Source organism: Homo sapiens, chromosome 15 (genome assembly GCF_000001405.40).
Source record: "Homo sapiens chromosome 15, GRCh38.p14 Primary Assembly".
In the NCBI taxonomy this organism is placed as follows: Eukaryota; Metazoa; Chordata; class Mammalia; order Primates; family Hominidae; genus Homo; species Homo sapiens.
In genome coordinates, this window is record NC_000015.10 from 42,454,577 (window position 1) to 42,474,713 (window position 20,137).

At 40.9% G+C, this 20,137-nt stretch overlaps 1 protein-coding gene across 13 annotated transcripts in view, besides 2 other annotated features; it reads right to left on the reverse strand.

The window, feature by feature from the left end:
* The window catches only part of ZNF106 (zinc finger protein 106), a 78,319-nt gene that overhangs the window by 41,754 nt on the left and 16,428 nt on the right, over positions 1–20,137 (reverse strand). For 7 of the 13 annotated variants that reach the window (NM_001381997.1, NM_001366844.3, NM_001381998.1 and 4 more), the window contains exons 2-3: positions 17,660–17,745; positions 11,477–11,538 (exon numbers count right to left, since the gene is read on the reverse strand). In NM_001381997.1, the coding sequence (NP_001368926.1) occupies positions 11,477–11,538; positions 17,660–17,713 (116 nt within the window). In that variant the 5' untranslated portion in view covers positions 17,714–17,745. Of the gene's footprint in view, positions 1–2,381; positions 2,957–11,476; positions 11,539–17,659; positions 17,746–20,137 lie in introns of those variants that run through there. The other 6 variants (NM_001381994.1, NM_001366846.3, NM_001366845.3 and 3 more) reach the window with 4 other exon arrangements.
* Positions 2,755–3,587: an enhancer, noted in NCBI's record as "OCT4-NANOG-H3K27ac hESC enhancer chr15:42749529-42750361 (GRCh37/hg19 assembly coordinates)". NCBI's record gives its function as "activates a minimal SCP1, AML or CMV promoter by ChIP-STARR-seq in naive H9 embryonic stem cells {active_cell/tissue: H9 hESC(naive)}" and the evidence as "EXISTENCE:reporter gene assay evidence [ECO:0000049][PMID:30033119]".
* Positions 3,588–4,419: an enhancer, noted in NCBI's record as "H3K27ac hESC enhancer chr15:42750362-42751193 (GRCh37/hg19 assembly coordinates)". NCBI's record gives its function as "activates a minimal SCP1, AML or CMV promoter by ChIP-STARR-seq in naive H9 embryonic stem cells {active_cell/tissue: H9 hESC(naive)}" and the evidence as "EXISTENCE:reporter gene assay evidence [ECO:0000049][PMID:30033119]".

Sequence of the window (20,137 nt, forward strand, 5' to 3'; positions counted from 1 at the left end):
TACTCCTGAAGAAGTAGATGATTTTGTCCAGGTGTGGTGGCTCATGCCTGTAATCTCAGCACTTTGGGAGGCCAAGGTGGGTGGATCACTTGAGCCCAGAAGTTCGAGGCCAGCCTGGGTGACATGGCTAAACCCCATCTCTACCAAAAATAAAAATAAAAAAAAAAAAATTAGCCACGCATGGTGGCGATGCATGCCTGTAGTTCCAGCTTCTCGGGAGGTTGAGGTGGGAGGACTGTTGGAGCCTAGGAAGTTGAGGCTGCAGTGAGGTGTCATCGTGCCACTGCACTCAAGCCTGGGTGACAGACCGACACCCTGTCTCAAAAAAAAAAAAGAAGTAGATGATTTTATAAATAGGTCATCAAGGAGGCACATCAAAAGACTCAAAAAATAGTAACTATGATACAAATGTCTAATCTATTCTGACTTAATGTTTAATTATTTACACAGATAAAGCTAATAATGGCACTAGTATGTAAGAACAAAATAGAAGTCTCCCAGAGGCTCCAACTGCCTAAAGCAGGATAAAGTAAACTGCAACTATATTAAAAGTAATGAAAATGTCATTTGAAGGACTAAGCTACTAAATGATTTAAGAACCATGTGGTTTGAGTGTCCCGTATCTGAAATGCTTGGGACCAGAAAGGTTTTGCATTTCAAACTGCTTTGGATTTTGGAATATTTTTGCATATACATAATGGGATATTACGGGAATGGGACCCAAGTCTAAACATAAAATTCATTTATGTTTCATATACACCTTTTATACACAGTCTGATGATAATTTTAGGTAATATTTTGAATAATTTTGTAAAATGAAATGAGGTGTGGAATTTTCCACTGGTGGCCTCATGTTGGCACTCAAATGTTTTGGATTTTGGTGCATTTTCAGACTTTGGATTAGGGATGCTCACCCTTTACTGATATTTTAAGATGAAGAAAGTCTCCTTCAAGGAATTGTTCAAAAAACTTTTTTTTAATTTTAATTTTTTGTTGTTGTTATTACATAGATAAGGGCTTCCTATGTTGCCCAGGCTGGTCTTAAAGCCCTGGCCTCGTCTCCTCATGCACCAGGACAATAGGCCTGAGCCACCGTTCCTCCCGGCAAAAAAACTTTTAACATATAGAGTAAAAACAACTTCCTTTTTATAGTTAAGCCTCTGACTAAAAAGGAGGTACAGACGGGGTATAACTAGTATTCAAAGAAGAATCTTTAAATTTTTATTTTAGAATCTGAAATGATTCTCTTCATGTTCTGGGACTTAAAAAATTATCCCACCTCATAAGTGCTTCTCTCTCTCTTTCCCTCACATTGAAAATTTCTACCTCATTAATTAAACTCTTTTTAACAAATTTTATAATTAAACTCTTTAGACCAGAAAGCAGTAAGGTAAAAACATAAATGCCTAATACCTGAATGTATAAATGTAGGTATGAAATTATGCAGTACAAATTAGAAAATTTATATTGCTTAAATTATCTTGACACTTATCAAAAAAAATTTATTCAAGAAAGCACTGTGGTAGTCACTGGGGATTCAAAGACAAAAAGATAAATCAAATTTGGCAGAAGCAACACGTTAATTCACACCAGTCAAAAAATATTTTCCTAAGAAATGTTATTTGGCAGTAAGACTATACTATATACTATAGACTACACTGTTATTTTGGCGATACGACTATACTATATACTATACGATTTATACAATGAAGCTTATATTCTAACACCTTTCCACTGGAAAATTTAAACGCCAAATAAAAACTTATTGGTATTCAAAAGATTTGGATACTGGACAGGTACGGTGGCTCACGCCTGTAATTCCAGCACTTTGGGAGGCTGAGGTGGGCAGATTGCTTGAGGTCAGGAGTTTGAGACCAGCCTGGCTAATGGGGTTAAACCTCGTCTCTACTAAAAATGCAAAAAAAATTAGCCAGGCATGGTGGCAGGCATCTGTAATCCCAGCTACTCAGGAGGCTGAGGCAGGAGAATTGCTTGAACCCAGAAGGCAGAGGTTACAGTGAGCCAAGATCACACCACTGCACTCCAGTCTGGGTGGGTGACAGAGTGAGACTCCATCTTAAAAAAAAAAAAAAAGATTTGGATACCAATAAAGCCATTCTCAACATAGTTACCAACATGGCAAAAATTTCAGATATGTAGCTACAGCTTATGTAGGAACAATACTAAGTTTGCTTTTTTAAGAAGATATTACAGTAGTTCAAGAAAACATTCCATTGCCCTTTGATTAGTAAGACAACAACCTCAAGCTAAACTTTATACCTAAGTTTAAATGCCATGGGCTGACCAGTACAAAGATATAAAATATATTCTCTGCTGTGTTCTGTTATAGATAGGCTTTTTTTAAAAAATCAATTACTTACCGACTTTGTTCTTTCCTTTGTTTTATTAACTGAATGAGTTCCTTGTCAAAATAATCTTCTTCCTCTTCCTCTCCTTTTCCATCATCTTCTCTTTCCTGGGCATCAACGTTATCTTTGTGCAACTGGCCAGAAATGTGCTTTGCATATGCAGAAAGACCCACTTCTGTGACCCCGCACACTCGGCACTCATGACTAATGTCCCTAGGGAAAGAGGGAGATGAGGGACATTCAATTCTCCCCACTGGCATGGCACACTCACCAGATCTGTTATTGTTTCCTCTGAAGGACACTGCACACTTTGGCACAGTGAAAAATTAGTGCTAATTAATTTCAATGCTCCTTTCATCACTTTTAATAAGTTTGTTTATAAGTTACTTTTGAAATGATTTTAAGATTCTTTTCCAGCAATCAAGAGGCAATAGACTTCAGATAAATGTCGTTTAGGAGGAGAAATCTTCTTGAATTGCTGTACTTAAAATCTTGTCAGAGGAAACATGGTGAAAGGGGAGGCAGGGCAGGGGGCTCAGAGCAAGCAGAAGTTGCTCTGGAGCACACCCATGGTGCCAGCTGCACTCAGAAGGCCTGGTGACAGCGCTTACATTTAATCTTTAGTCTAGAGCTTTCTTCCAGTGAAAGTTAAGGGGTGGAAACAAGAGTAGGTGGCGCAGCCAATCCCAAGTCGGTAACTAAATCGGAACAGCTGGAGCTCTGCCTGGAATGTGAGGATTCCGGACCCCAGGAGTAGTCCAGGCAAACTTTTTTGGTCTGGATGATACATGTGATCTACATTCTGCTTCAGAAGGGCTTATTTTAAAGGGAATGGAAAGCATTTCAGTTGTAGGAAGTTAACAGCTGTGCCAAGCAAATGTGTTTTCTCAAGTTTCAGAAAATGCTACAGTTGAGAGAGATGCAAAACCAGGTTTTTAGTTAAACTAGGCAGACTTTTTTGCTTTGTTTTGTTTTTTTACTTTACATACTTCATGCAAATCTCACTTAGCCAGTCTTCAGAAGCCAGTCTTGAATCAGTGTCCACAGCTGTAGCAGATCAGTAATTTAACTGCTTTTTAGCTTCTGGAAATCCCTTGACTGGGTCAGCTGACTATGCAGTCATTTATGAGAAACATCTGAACACCATAGTTACAAGACAGCAGTATCCATTCAACAATCCAAATTGGCTTAACTCTGTATCATGTGTCCTGGATTTAGACTAGTTATATTTTTGCACTTCCTATGCCAATCTATTAAAAAAAAAACCAACAACCCAAAAGGACATGCCGTCTTTGTCCAGACAGAACACATACACACACGTGCACCTCTGTTCCATCTTTCCCTCACAAATACCTAACTAGACATAGGCAGAATTTACATCAACCAGAAGAGACCCTCAAAACTGGGCACTTCATTTACTAGAGGACAGTTACTGTTACAGATCACCTGAATATTCATTCAAGGAAAAAAAAAAAAAAAAGGCCGGGCTTGGTGGGGCTCACGCCTGTAATCCCAGCACTTGGGGAGGCCAAGGCGGGCAGATCATGAGGTCAGCAGTTTGAGACCAGCCTGACCAAAATTGTGAAACCCTATCACTACTAAAAATACAAAAATTAGCCTGGTGTGGTGGTGTGCACCTGTATTCCCAGCTATTCGGGAGGCTGAGGCAGGAGAATCGCTTGAACCCAGGAGGCAAAGGTTGCAATGAGCCGAGATTACACCACTGCACTCCAGCCTGGGTGATAGAGCCAGACTCCATCTCAAAAAAACAAAAGAAAAAAAAAAACAACACCTTACCAAAAAACAGCTAAATTCTAGGTGTGCTGTTTTTTGGTAAGGTGTTTTCTTTTTTTTTTTAAATGAATATTCAGGTGACCTGTAACAGAAACTGTCTTCTAGTAAATACTTAGCATAGACACTCTTGTTTAGGGTGACAAAGTTTAAACACTCAAACAATGCCCAGTAAGTTTAAAAAAACAACACTGTTCCTTATTTTGTAAGGATCATGGAGAAGAGCTCAGAAAAACTGAGAAAATTTGCAAGTTTTCACTCTTTTTTGACTTTGTAACCTCAAATACTGACATTTTTAAGATTCATTTTAATGTGCTCTGACCAGGTTTCCTAAAAATATCAATACCTGATTACCCAGAATATCAATATTCTAATTCCACAGGTACTTAAATACATTATTTTTACTGAGGGTTTTCAACTGCACTTACTACATTTATACACTTAAAGAATAATCTTCGGCCAGGCGTGGTGGCTCACACCTGTAATTCCAGCACTTTGGGAGGCCGAGGCGGATGGATCACCTGAGGTCAGGAGTTTGAGACCACCCGGGCCAAACTGGTAAAACCCCGTCTCTACTAAAAATACAAAAATTAGACGGGCATGGTGGCGGGCACCTGTAATCCCAGCTACTCAAGAGGCTGAGGCAGGAGAATCGCTTGAACCCAGGAGGCAGAGGTTGTAGTAAGCTGAGATCGCACCACTGCACTCCAGCCTGGGCAACAGAGTGAGACTCCGTCTCAAAAAGAAAAGAAAAAAAGAAAAAAGAATAATCCTCAACTTTCTCCAGTTTACCAGGGATACCGATACTTTTCTCTCAAGCAATTAAATTGATGGTAGCTCATTCCAACTGAACGTTAATAACAAGCTGTTTCTCAAAGCAACACACAAAGAAGTTAATTATATAAATCTATCACAATGGGCAGCATCAGAACAGTCTGAGGACTATAACAAATCTACAATATCTCATTTACACTATAAACATTCCAATCAACTCAATTTTCCAGTTAGAAAATCTTTTTGTTGGCCAGGCGCAGTGGTTCAAGCCTGTAATCCCAGCACTTTGGGAGGCCGAGGTGGGTGGATCACGAGGTCAGGAGTTCGAGACCAGGCTGGCCAATACGGTGAAACCCCATCTCTACTAAAAAAAAATACAAAAATTAGCCAGGCATGGTGGCACACGCCTGTAATCCCAGCTACTCAGGAGGCTGAGGCAGGAGAATCGCTTGAACCTGGGAGGTGGAGGTTGCAGTGAGCCAAGATCACTCCACTGCACTCCAGCCTGGGTGACAGAGTGAGACTTGGCCTCAAAAAAAAAAAAAAAGAAAATATTTTTGTCTTAAAACTCTCTAAAACTATGGAAAATATCTTAGCCTACTTTTCTACCTAAAAGCTCATAGAATGCTAAACTGAATATTGCAGTACCAGAGACATCTTTCTATTGGGGACTTTAGTATAATCCCTAAAAAGTATTTTAAAATAAAATCCATGATTTTATCCTTACTTCTAAAATGCAGAGAATCTGTCTAATGCTCAAACTATCAAAACCCCTCGCTCTTAAAAGACACAACTAGAAAGCAATACTGACTTTCCAAAATATTAAGGAATGTCGTATAAAGTAGGCAGAACTTAACTGTTAAAAATAAACATCCATAATCGTAAACCCACACACCCTGCAACCCCCAAAGCACAAACATATGTTGGATTCTTAACAGTGGAACATTTTCAAACCATTTTGCAATCCTAGTGAGAAAGAATATAACCATAGTTCCAAAATTATTTGACAGAGAACAAATCAGAGACCCTGCCCAGAAGGGCATACGCAATAAGTGCAGTATAAAAGTTAACACTAGCCAGGTGCCCACGCCTGTAATCCCAGCACTTTGGGAGGCCGAGGCAGGCAGATCACCTGAGGTCAGGAGTTCAAGACCAGCCTGACCAACACGGAGAAACCCCGTTTCTACTAAAAATACAAAATTAGCCGGGTGTGGTGGCGCATGCCTGTAATCCCAACTACTTGGGAGGTTGAGGCAGGAGAATCGCTTGAACCCAGGAGGTGGAGGTTGCGGTGAGCCGAGATTGCACCATTGCACTCTAGCCTGGGCAACAAGAGCAAAACTCCGTCTCAAAAAAAAAAAAAAAATTAACACTAAAAATAATTTTTCAAAAACCAAATCCCTAACATTTTTCTTATAAATAAAATCCAGTTTAAAATAGAAACTTTGCAAGAAACTTCAAAAAAAAACTTTATAAGAAACTTCAAAAAGAGAAACTTCAAAAAGTGTGTAGGGGTAATATGGTTACCTCCACACACATCTGCGTTTTCAGGAGATGTGGTTATACTACCCTGTTCTTTCTCTATGTAGCCACATCTTCTGAAAATTCAAGTGTGTGTGGAGTAAGCATATTACCTCTATTACCTCTGTTCTCTACACAACAGGCATTCATGCTTCAACATAGTGTTTGGGAAACCATGTTTTAAAAGCCTAATAGCAAGTTAATATTTTAATGAGGTTACTTGATAATTATTTATTAACAATCAGTTAAAATACTTACTATACTGTGTGAATAAATAAAATAATCACGGGGGAAATGTACAGCTTTGCTCCTTGGCTAGCAAAGGCAATAATTTTCCTTAGGGCATTTAAAGGAGGGCCTAAATTAGCTTCATCCTGTTACCACACAATTTCCTCTCATGTGTGAAACACAAAGTCTTAAGATACTCTCTCCATAAGCTTTTCTTTATTAAGCTTGCTCTAACTACCCGACAACAGCTGCTGAATAAATAAAGGTTTGTGCCTTTTTAATAGTCTCTATCTGGAGATGTTACTTACGGCCCACACATCTGAAGAAGTATATTAGGAAAAAATAGGGAAATGTTTCACATGTCCACAGCCATGAACCAAGTAAGACCAGTTACTTATTGCTTATTCAAGCTTGCTGCAAAGCCTAAGTAACACATACTTTGCAATTCTTAACCAGATCACAACCAAAAACTGTAGACACAACTATAAAGAGAAAAAGAAAGTCTCAGTGTCAGAAACCCAGTAGTTAAAAATGAAATCCAGAGGAAATAATCACAAACTCAGGATAACAGGGTAAAGAAATAATGACTGATAATTATTTGTCCCTATGGTACAAGCTGGTGAAGACCGTCCTTACAGTAAATGCTCCAAGTCCGTAAACAATTTTTGAGATTTTATGGGGTTTTCTATAATTTTGTAAGCTGGTTTTTCTTGCTACCTGTTTGTCTTCTCTCTTATATGTAACATGATTTGTTACAGGTCAGGAACACTATATCCAATATGTGAGTAAATAAGTACTAAAGGCTATCCTCTAAAGAAAATGAGTTTGGGTGCGAAACCTGACATTCCCATTGGCAGCTCAGGGAGGCTTTTAGTGCCTTTTTCCTAATTATTTTACTGTGATCCACATAATTTAAAATGGTAGATAAAATCTCCATAGCACAGTGTAGTTGCATGGGTGGAAAAGAACACATTACAGAACAAAACATAAATGACAATGTGGTTCATTAAGTTAACATCACAAAACAAAATGTGTATCTATAAATATAAATGTATAGGCCAGGCGCGGTGGCTCACGCCTGTAATCCCAGCACTTTGGGAGGCCGAGGCAGGTGGATCATCTGAGGTCAGGAGTTCGAGACCAGCCTGGTCAACATGGCGAAACCCAGTTTCTACTAAAAAGAGAAAAAATTAGCCGGCATGGTTGCGCGTGCCTGTAATCCCAGCTACTTGGGAGGCTCAGGCAGGAGAATCGCTTGAACCAGGGAGGCAGAGGTTGCAGTGAGCCGAGATCACACCATTGCACTCCAGCTTGGGCTACGAGTGTGAAACTCCGTCTCAATAAATAAATAAATAAATAAGTACGTAAATACATAGAAAGAGGTCTGGATAGGATACGCACCAACCATTGAGTCTCCTCTAAGAGAGAAATAGGATTTAGAGGGGAAAGGGGGGTGGAGAGAAGACTTTTACTTTTTAAACAACTTTTTATGATTCTGTATTGATTATAAACACGAGTCTTATGTGACCAAACTTGGTTTTGTTTTGACAGGGTCTCACTGCCACCCAGGCTGGAGTGCAGTGGCACAATCATAGCTCACTGCAGCCTCAAACTCCTGGGCTCAAGGGATCCTCCTGCCTCAGCCTCCTTAGTAGCTGGACTACAGGTGCAACCCACCACACCTGGCTTTTTTTTGTTTTGTTTTTTGTTTTTTTTTTTGTAGAGACAGGGGTCCCACTATGTTGCCCAGGTTGGTCTTGAATTCCTGGGCTCAAGTGATTCTCCTGTCTTAGCCTCTCAAAGTGCTGGGATTATAGGCACGAGCACCGCGGCCGGCCCAAACTTTTAAAAATGTTTTAAATGGATGATTAGTGACGTCTGAAATAAATGAGGCATTAATCTTTGAATGCAATGGGCTTCTCTCCTACAGACTAGATTTACTGACCTTGTTTGTTTTGTTTAATGATATAGTGCATATGGGTAGGGTGGCAGGTAAGTCACCCATAATAAAATGAACTCTAGAAGGAAGTCTGTTGAAAATGGGATTTTTAAGTAAAATACTCCACATAATCAAAAGTTGACTGCATTTCATAGATTCTGAATGTTAATGACATAGAGATCATATATATTCAAGGTATTATGATAAGGGCTTCTGGCCATGCAGAGTGGCTCATGCCTGTAGTCCCACCACTTTGGAAGGCAGAGGTAGGAGGATCAGCTAGAGCCCAGGAATTCAAGACCACCCTGAGCAACAGAGTGGAACCCTGTCTTTACAAATAATAAAGGCCAAATGAAAGACAGAGTGGAACTCTGTCTTTACAAAAAATAAAGGCCAAATGAAAGACAGAGAGGAACCCTGTCTTTACAAAAAATAAAAGCCAAAAATAAAAGCCAAAAGGGTGTGGTGGCACACGCCTGTAGTCCCAGCTACACAGTAAGCTGAGGTGGGAGGATTGTTTGAGCCCAGGAGTTCGAGGTTGCAGTCAGCTGTGATCGTGCCACGGCACCCCAGCCTGGTGACAGAGTGAGTGAGACCCTGTCTCAAAAAAGTATATATTAAAAATAATAAGGGCTCCCCATACTAAAATTGAGTGAGTGACAGTCTCCTTTATATTGCTGCTAAGACCTAACCTTCACATAATAAGAGACTGGGGGCAGGGAAAAATTCCACTAATAGGCTAAAGAGATGCTGAAAGTTTAATAACACATTAATTTGCCCACAGAATTTTAAACTGTAGGTCACAAAAAAATAAATTTCAAATGACCTAGGTTGACATCCTGATCAAAACTTGTAACTACTGGCTAGGCATGGTGGCTCACGCCTGTAATCCCAGCACTTTGGGAGGCCGAGGCGGGCAGATCACAAGGTCAGGAGTTCAAGATCAGTCTGACCAACATGGTGAAAACCCGTCTCTACTAAAATTACTAAAATTAGCCGGATGTGGTGACGCACGCCTGTAATCCCAGCTACTCAGGAGGGTGAAGCAGGAGAATCGCTTGAACCCGGGAGGCGGAGGTTGCAGTGAGCTGAGATAGCACCACTGCACTCTAACCTGGGCAACAGAGTGAGACTCCGTCTCAAAAAAAAAAAAACAAAAAACCACAAACTTGTAACTATTATTCATGGGATAAGATATAATTCCTATTTCCTAGGTTCCCAATGTTCCTCCATCTATCTTGTTTCCAAACTTCAAATTGACAGAAGTCAAATACATCAAAATAAATCACAAATAGACCAAAGACATGGAATATACACATGCTACTTTTTTTTTTTTTTTTTTTTTTTTGATACAGGGTCTGGCTCTGTCACCAGGCTGGAGTGTGGTGGTGTGATCTTGGCTCACTGCAACCTCCACCTCCCAGGCTCAAGCATCCTCCCACCTCAGGCTGATGAGTAGCTGGGACTACAGGCACATACCACTATGCCCAGCTAATTTTGGGGGTTTTTTGTGGGGCAGGGGATAGAGACAGGTGATATGGTTTGGCTGTGTCCCCACCCAAATCTCACCTTGAATTGCAATAATCCTCACATCTCAAGGGTAGGGCCAGGTGGAGATAACTGAATCATAGGGGCAGTTTCCCCCATACTGTTCTCATGGTAGTGAATAAGTCTCAGGAGATCTGATGGTTTTATAAATGGGAATTCCCCTGCACAAGCTCTCTTGCCTGCTGCCATGTAAGATGTAACTCTGCTCCTCATTCACCTTCTGCCATGATTGTGAGGCCTCCCTAGCTACGTGGAACTCTGAGTCAATTAAACCTCTCTTCTTTATAAATTACCCAGTCTTGGGTATGTCTTTATTAGCAGCGTGAGAATAGACTAATACAATGGGGTTTCCCCATATTGTCCAGGTTGGTCTTGAACTCCTGGGCTCAAGCAATCTGCCTGGCTCAGTTTTCCAAAATGCTCGGATTACAGGCATCAGCCACTGCACCTGGCCTACATTTCATTTTTTAAAGGTGTCCACTTATTAGATTTCCTTTCCTTAAACATCTCAAGCTTCAAATCACAGAATAGCATCCTTCTTTTTTTTTGAGACAGGGTCTCACTGTGTCACCCAGGCTGGAGGGCAGTGGCACAATCACAGCTCACTGTAGCCCTGACCTACCTAAGCTCAAGTGATCCTCCCAACCTTAGCCTCCTAAATAGCTGGGACCACAGGCTATTAGCTGCCACACCCACCTAATTTCTTTATTTGTAGAGACAAGGTCTTTCTACGTTGCCCAGGCTGGTCTCAAACTCCTGGGCTCAAGTAATCCTTCCACCCTGGGCTCCCAAAGTGTTGGGATTACAAGCGTGAGCCACTGCACCTGGCCAGCATTCTTAAATACATTTAAGGTTTATATTTCAATTCTGTTTATACCAATGAGATTCAGTGCTATTTAGCAGACTTTGGATGTCTCAGACAATTCCAGCAATACTAAACGTTTATGGCATGCAATAATTTGTAACACTGCTGAAGTAAAAATACAAAATGTCCTAGTTGCAAGGCTAGCACGTAGGAATGAGAAAGCTTACTAATGAGAGAGTTAGCTCATCCCAACTCACCTTTGTTGCAATCTACTTGATAGGGCTGCTGTGAATTCACACATTTGAGATGCCCAAAGGTATCAGAGTTTATCCCTTTTGAATGCCAAAAATCTACTACACTTGGTATTAATTCTAAAAGGTTGTTCTACGCCATAAGACAACATTTGCTTTTGACGGATTACTGCAAAACAAACTGACAGGCACCATCATCACTCAGATCCACCCACATTCACAAACTTATGGAAGAGAGCCGTTCCCATACCTGCCCTTGAGGTTCTCAAGTTCCCTGTGATGCAACATGCTCCGCATGTGTTCGTCCATCTCCTTCAAAATAAAAGAAAGTAGATTAAAACTAAGCAGGATTGCTTTGAAAAAAAAAAACTCCTCTGTTCCTCCTCAATCAAAAATTGGGGCTCAAACTCCTTATGTCAAAATGTGTTTTTGGTTATTCTCAATTTAATACTGAAATCAGTTCCTTAATAATTAACTGTGTTTTTTAATATATTTCATGTTTAAATAAAAAGAATTCTTAAAAAGACATATTTAAGTGGCTTTCCAAAAAGATTAGAAAGTATTATCTTTAGGAAGCAAAACACTTAAGAGTAAACTAAGTAAGTTAAATTCTATCCCATTATAAAGAATTTACTAAAGTTCATTTAAAAAAAAAACCTTTCAAATCACTCAACTTTTCAACTATTTGGCTTCTTTTATCCACAGTTTCTCAAGAGTAAGCTACAACTCTTACTTTACCCATGTCTTGGACAGGGCCTAGCATATAGTCATCAATAAGCATTTGTTGAATGAATATAGATGGATACATCAATTCTAGATAGGAGTTACAAACATAACAGAGCCTCTCTATGCTAGATAAGAAAGTTTTAAAAAAATACTTTGAACATAGCAGCTTAATCAATCCTTTATCTTCACTGTCCACTCCCTCACTTCCCCAGTGGATTTGTTTGGTTCCAATGAAAAGTTTGAACATTTATAGTAGGTTCCCTTCTTCCCATCCTTAGAGGGAAGAAAATATGTGGGAAAGCTGCCACTTAAAAACATGCACACGGCTGGGCGTGGTGGGTCACACCTGTAATCCCAGCACTTTGGGAGGCCGAGGTGGGCAGATCACGAAGTCAGGAGATCGAGACCATCCTGGCCAACATGATGAAACCCCGTCTCTACTAAAAATACAAAAATTAGCTGGGCGTGGCAGTGCGTGCCTATAGTCCCAGCTAGTCAGGAGGCTGAGGCAGGAGAATCGCTTGAACCCGGGAGGCAGAGGCTACAGTGAGCCGAGATTGTGCGACTGTACTCCAGCCTGGCGACAGAACGAGACTCCGTCTCAAAAAAAGAAAAAAGAAAAAACATGCACACATGTACACATACACATACACAAAACTCAAAAAGCTATAAATGTCTATCCCTTTGTCACTCTACAGTATACACAGCCAGTATGCCATAATTAAAGAATGGCTGTTCACATATATAATAATAAAGGGCTACTACACTTGTTGTGTTATTGCTATTTACTGCATTCCGTGTGAAGTCCCTCAAACATTTTCTCACTTGAACTGCAAAATACTGCCGAGGGAGTATGATTAACTTCATGCTGAAGAATGCAGAGAAGTTACCTCATTCATTCACCAAATATTTATCAAATTCTTATTATATGCCAAGAATAGAGCTAGGCATTGAAGGTTAAGCGTGAAAATATTCAGTCTTGGCCGGGCACAGTGGCTCATGCCTGTAATCCCAGCACTTTGGGAGGCTGAGGCAGGTGGATCATGTGGTCGAGTTTGAGACCAGCCTAGCTAACATGGTGAAACCCCATCTCTACTAAAAATACAAAATCCAAAAAAAAAAACCAAACCACTAACTGGGCTGGTGGTGAACGCCTGTAATCCCAGCTACTTGGGAGGCTAAGGCAGGAGAATCGCTTGAACCTGGGAAGGCGGAGGTTGCAGTGAGCTGGTATCACGCCACTGCACTCCAGCCTGGGCAACAAGAGTGAGACTCTGTCTCAAAAAACAAACAAACAAACAAAATATTTAGTCTTGCCCTCTCGGAGTGACAAATAATCAAGTGGTCAAAGTGGGATTCAAACCCAGGCAGATCTGACACCAAAGCTAATGCTTCAAACACCATGTCACACTGTAAGCATTTGGTGCATTGAAATTTTTCATTATATACAGTTCATTTGTCAAAAACAATACAACACAACCCACTGTTACTTAAAGTTATCTACTATAGTGTGATAAACAGGGTTGTGATTCAAAACGCCTTTTTTTTTTTTTTTTTTTTTTTTTGAGACGGAGTCTCGCTCTATCGCCCAGCCTGGAGAGCAGCGGCTCGATCTCGGCTCACGACAACCTCTGCCTCCAGGGTTTCAAGAGTTTCTCCTGCCTCAGCCTCCTGAGTAGCCTCGATTACAGGCATGCGCCACTATGCCCAGCTAATTTTTTGTATTTTTAGTAGAGATGGGGTTTCACCATGTTGGCCAGGCTGGTCTCAAACTCCTGACCTCAGGTGATCCACCCACCTCAGCCTCCCAAAGTTCTGGGATTACAGGCATGAGCCACTGTGCCCAGCCAAAACACTTCTTTTAAATGGCAATTTTACTGAAGATTACCATCGTTTCCTTCCTAGCTCTACAGATGCTTCATAAGGAGAGAGTAGGCCAGGTGCGGTGGCTCACGCCTATAATCCCAGCACTTTGGGAGGCTGAGGTGGGCGGATCAAAAGGTCAGGAGTTCGAGACCAGCCTGACCAACATGGTGATACCCCGTCTCTACTAAAAGTACAAAAATTAGCCAGGCATGGCAGCGCGTGCCTGTAATCCCAGCTACTCAGAAGGCTGAGGCAGGAGAATCGCTTGAACCCAGGAGGCGGAGGTTGCAGTGAGCCAAGATCGCGCCATTGCACTCCAGCCTGGAGACAGAGCAAGACTCCGTCTCAAAAAAAATAAAAAATAAAAAAATAAGGAGAGAGTAGCTTTACACATGACCTCTTCTAGCCACAACTGACTGGCCGCTAACTAAAATTAACACTTGTGGACCTGAAAACTAAGACAAGTTAGTGACAGAATAGAATGAAAAATCGATTAATATACACATCTTCGGTGGGGCACGGTGGCTCACGCCTATAATCCCAGCACTTTGGGAGACGGAGGCGGGTGGATCACCTGAGGTTAGGAGTTCGAGACCAGCCTGACCAACATGGTGAAACCCCGTCTCTACTAAAAATACAAATTAGCTGGGCGTGGTGGCGCATGCCTGTAATCCCAGCTACTCAGGAGGCTGAAGCAGGAGGATCACTTGAACCCAGGAGGTGGAGGTTGCAGTGAGCCGAGGTCACACCATTGCACTCCAGCCTGGGCGACAAGAGCAAAACGCCGTCTAAAAAAAAAAACTTCTCAAGTCCTGTTATTCAATGCTTCCTGTTATTCAATTCCTCCTTGATTTAGATGCTTACCAATATGCCTAATCCCCTTTACTTGAGCTAAATTTAAGTGAGTTCTGTTCCTTACAACAAAACCATTCCTGACCAAAACAGCATTCACTGAAATGGGTTTGTCTGACAAAAAAACTGATTCTTCTTACTATAAAAATGTTATCACCCACTAATAGTTTTAATGTGACTTTTGTTTTTTTTAAAACACTTCACTAATCTTGTCCTAAATTTACATGCAAAACCTTCTCCCATCCTGCTCCAAGGAATGAATACAAACATTGAGACAACTGAGCTTTCAAAAATCATTAGAAAAAATTCAGCCAGACATGGTGGCTCACACCTGTAATTACGCCCAGTACTTTGGGAGGTCAAGGTGGAAGGATCACTTGAGCCTAGGAGTTCAAGATCAGTGTGGGCAACCTAATAAGACATCATCCCTACAAAAAAAAATTTTTAATTAAAAAATAGCACATGCCTGTAGTCCCAGCTACTCAGGAGGCTGAGACGGGAGCATCACCTGAGCCTGGGACACAGAGGTTGCAGTGAGCTGAGATGGCTCCACTGCACTCCAGCCTAGACAGCAGGGTAAGACCCTGTCTCAAAATGAAACAAAACAACAACAAAAAAAAAAAAAGAAAAAAAAGAAAGAAAGAAAAGAAAAAAGATCCACAGGCACAGGATTAAGGTAATAGCCCCAAATGCATTCCTTCTCATGTATTAGGCTTCTATTTAGGCCTTGTATATTAATCAGTATTATATTTTTAAAGGCTGGGTTGGTTGGAGGGGAGGGGGGACTCATGGTTAAACACATGTGGAAAACATTGAATAATACAAAAAATATGACCAGGTGTAGTGGCTCACACTTGAGGCCAGGAGTTCAAGACCGGCTGGGCAACACAGTAAGACTCCATCTCTATTATACACATATATTTAACTCCAGGGCTTCTCAGTATTTTATGTTAATGGGCCTCAGGATACTCAGGGATACCTTACACAGCTTTTCCCCATACTCAAGTCACTTAGAACCTTTTCTCCTCCATAGTTTATTTGGAGAAACCAGAGTTACACTAGTTTGGGAAATTGGAGACAAGCATGGCTTCAACACCAATTGTTCATAGTCCTATCTGAAAATAAGTATCAGTTATCCCTTCCAACTAACCCATTTTGTTACTTTCTTAAGTCATACCACTCACTTAAAGCAGGCCATTCCCTTGCTTTAAAAAAAAATAAAAAGGCAAAAAATAAAAATAAAAACTACAACCAGCTTTTCCTTTTTTTAAAAAAAAGGAAAATAAATAAAAACTACAATCAGCTTTTCCTAGGGCAGGAGTAGATAATTCCAGCCCTTCATTTAACTTCATTATGATCATGGAAAAGTATGAAGAGATAAAAGTATGTTTGAAACCAGAGTAGCAGAGCCAGAAAGATTTAAAATGGCAAAATCACAAAATCATGGTATCACAAGATAGGGCTGCTATTCTATGAAACTCTGATATCACATCTCTGAACAGCAGCCTTTCCATCTCACATCTTCTCCCTACCTCTGTCCAACGTGAAAGTAGTCATAAGGAATTCTGACTTATTGACAATTTGTATAAACCTTCATCAAATTTTTAAAACTAGAAGAGCATTCTTCTATTTTTGTAAACAGTAGCAGGTATATTATTAAACATGATTTTTAAATCTCACTAATTTTTCCATCACTAACAGAAATCTAGATAGAAAAAAAAATAGTATCCACCCAAGTCTACTTGGTGGATCATAATCGACCCTTCAGTCTGGCATCCAACACTGTTTATCAACTATCTTCACTTAATTACAAATTACAGTCCTGCTATTCCCAAGGCAAAACTGTTTTAATCAGATGAGCCTTCTTGCCAACTCCTAGAACTGTCATACTCCATTCCATTTGTCTCTGTACATGTTGTTCTCCTACCCAAAATATCTCTTCCTCGTTTCTCTTAAACCATCGTTACTCTAGACACTTTTCAAAGTTTACCACTTCCACTCACACTTCCCTGGCTAACCTAGCCCATGATCCTCCCAGTTCTCTGCATTTCCAGTAACAATCAAGAGCATCTTAAAAGCAAAGAGAATAAATTCCTCAGTATTTAAACTAGCAGCACTACTCTGAAAGCAAATGATAAAGGCAGGTAAAGGCAAAAAGTGACACAAATTGCAGCCAATTTTAGGTCCTAAAAAGATGTTTTGGCCGGGCACAGTGGCTCATGCCTGTAATCCTAGCACTTTGACAGGCCCGAGGCAGGTGAAAAACCTGTGGTCAGGAGTTCAAGACCAGCCTGTGCAACATGGTGAAACCCTGTCTCTACTAAAAATACAAAAATCAGCCATACCCAGCAGCACATGCCTGTAATCCCAGTTACTTGGGAGGCTGAGGCAGGAGACTCACTTGAACTGGGGAGGCAGAGGTTGCAGTGAGCTGAGATTGCGCCACTGCACTCCAGCATAGGCAACACAGTTAAGTCTCCATTTCAAAAAAAAAGTTTTACTTTGAGCAACATCCCCACCTTGTGGACATCTAGGATATTGTTAATACCATTTCTGCTGTGCTGCATTTTTCACAAGCATAGGCATAAACAGATTGTAGGTACATATAATAGATGCTATATCCTTAGCTAATCAAAAAGTACATGATTTTAAAATTACAGAAAGCAGTATGACTTCAAATAACCTTGGAATTTTAAGGTATCTTCCCTATAACTGGTTACTAAATTTCTGTGTCATCTAGTTTTGAATACGCTCAAATTCTGGATGGACAGAAGTTTAATAATACAGGTACTGGCTTTAGGAGGCAGTAACGAGAAAGAAACCAGTGGAATGAGACTATGGTTTAGGAAAGAAAAGAAGCATAAATAAGACATTGTCAAAGCTTTTCCTATTAATAACATATGTCTATTAATATTAATAACATCTATTAATAACATGTCTCTTTAAAAAATAGTCATAAAGCCTCAGATTCTCCCTCTTCCATTATTACCTTTTTTGAGCTGTACACGATGTGGCATAATATGCATTTTCGTTCTCGTACCATAGTGACCAGATCTGAAGCACTCAACGTCACAGCTGCAATGAGGAAGTAACATTTAGTAACCTTTTCTCCTCAGTACCTTCTTACATTCATCTTCACATAACCAAAATTACAAGTCTTATCTTCCTCACCTCCACCTTGCTCCTCCCCCAGATCTTTCCGTTTCCAGGTGCATAGGGTAAACATTTTGGGAGCCATCCTTGATCCTTCTTTTTCACCCCATATCCACCCTCATTAGGAAATTGTCAGACCTACCTTGCTATATAGCCAAATTCCAACACTTCTCACCACCCAGCACATCTCTCATCCCACACGGCATTACCCTACTACTGAAACGACTCCTTCCTTCTGCTCTTGTCCTCTCACAGCTGATTCTCAAAACAGTGTTTTGAGAGTAGCCAAAGATTCTTAGAATAAGATTCTTTTAAAGTTTAATTCAGAATGGACAGGTGCAGGGGCTCACGCCTGTAATCCCAGCATTTTGGGAGGCCGACGCGGGCAGATCACGAGGTCAGGAGTTAGAGACCAGCCTGGCCAACATGGTGAAACCCCGTCTCTACTCAAAATACATAAATTAGCTGGGTGTGGTGGCAGGTGCCTGTAATACCAGCTACTCAGGAGGCTAAGGCAGAATTGCTTGAACCCAAGAGCGGAGGTTGCAGTGAGCTGAGATTGCACCACGGCACTCCAGCCTGGGCGACAGAGCAAGACTCCAACTTTGAAAAAAAAAAAAAAAACAAGTTTAAGTTAGAACATATACAGGTTGAAAATTCCAAATCTAAAAATCTGAAATCTGAAATCTGAAATGATCCAAAACCGGAAACTTTTTGGGTGTCAACATGATGCTCAAAGGAAATGCCCGCTGGAGCAGTTTAGATTTGGAATGTTCCGATTTGGGATGTTCAGCCAGTAAGTACGCAAATATTCCAAGATCCGAAAAAATCTGAACTCCACAACACTTTTGGTCCCAAGCATTTCGGATAAAGGAACTCAACCTGTATGTAATTCCTCTGCTCAGAATTTCCCAATGGCGTCCATCTCACTCACAGAAAACCTAGTCTTTGCCATGGCTACAATATCTGTTTCTCTCTTCCTCTCCGAATCATTCGCATGCCCTCCCGTTCTTCCTCTATCATTCTGGTGCACTTGCATTCCCCTCGTTGCTATTCTTTGTTCACATCACAGATCCTCCCACCTTTGCACCTCTACATTTTCTGTTCTCTGCCTGGAATATTCTTCCTTAAAAAGTCCTTATGGTTCCCGTGGCTCATTCATTTCCATCAGGTATCTAAAATATTGCCTTATGGGAGAGGCCCTGCCTAACCCTCTACATAATATTGCACTTTCTGACACCCCACCTCTCCACATAGTTCCAGTTTCTCTATTCCCCTATTAACCTGCTTAATTTTTTATAGCACTGTGGTAGATCATGTTTCCATAGAAGGCCTCAACAATATCTGCTACCCCATGTGCTCTTTTGCAATGTGATCTTGCCACCATCCATGAAAAGGTGGATGGAGTCTGTTTCCCCTCCCTGTGAACTATTTTGATCAATAAAATGTGGCAGAAGTGATGCTGTATAACTTAAGAGGCTGGGCTTTCAGAAATCTGTACCTTCTGCCTCTGCCCACTTGTTACACTCCCTCTTGAAAGCCAGCCACCGTGCTGTGAGAAGCCAAAGCCACAGGGAAAGGCCAGGTAAAAAAAGAACTGAGGCCCCCACTGAGTACCCAAACAACAAGCAGGACCAACTGACAGCCAGAAGCGTGAGCCATCTTGGGGGCTCCAGGTCCAGCCACCAATGAGAGACCCCCAAGTGAGACCAATACATACACCATCCAGATAAGCCCTCTTCAACCCAGAGAATTGTGAGACACAATACAAGAGTTGTTTTAAGCCAGGAAATTTTGGAATAGTTTATGAACAAGTGACATCTGGAACATTATCTTTTACTACCTGACATAGTATGTATTTGTTATTCTCTGTCTCTGCCAATTAAAATTTAAATTCCGTGAGAAAAAGGACTTTGCATATTTTGTTCACTAGTATAGTTCGGTCTAGCACTTAGAACAGTGTATGACATATCATAAGGAATTCAAAAGTATTTGTTGATTATTCCAAATGGAACTATCCATCTTGGGTTACTAAATGTGAGTTTAGTAACTGAGCTGAGTAAATAGCAGGGTTTGAGGCCAGGCACAGTGGCTCACAGCTGTAATCACAGCACCTTGGGAGGCTGAGGTGATAGGATCACTTGAGGACAGGAGTTCAACACCAGTCTGGGCAACATAGTGTCTCTACAAAAAATGAAAGAATTAGCTGGGTACTATGGCTCATGCCTGTAATCCCAGCTACTTGGGAGGCACAGCAAGGAGGATTCCTTGAGCCCAGGAGTTTGAGGTTATAATGAGCTATGATTGTGCCACT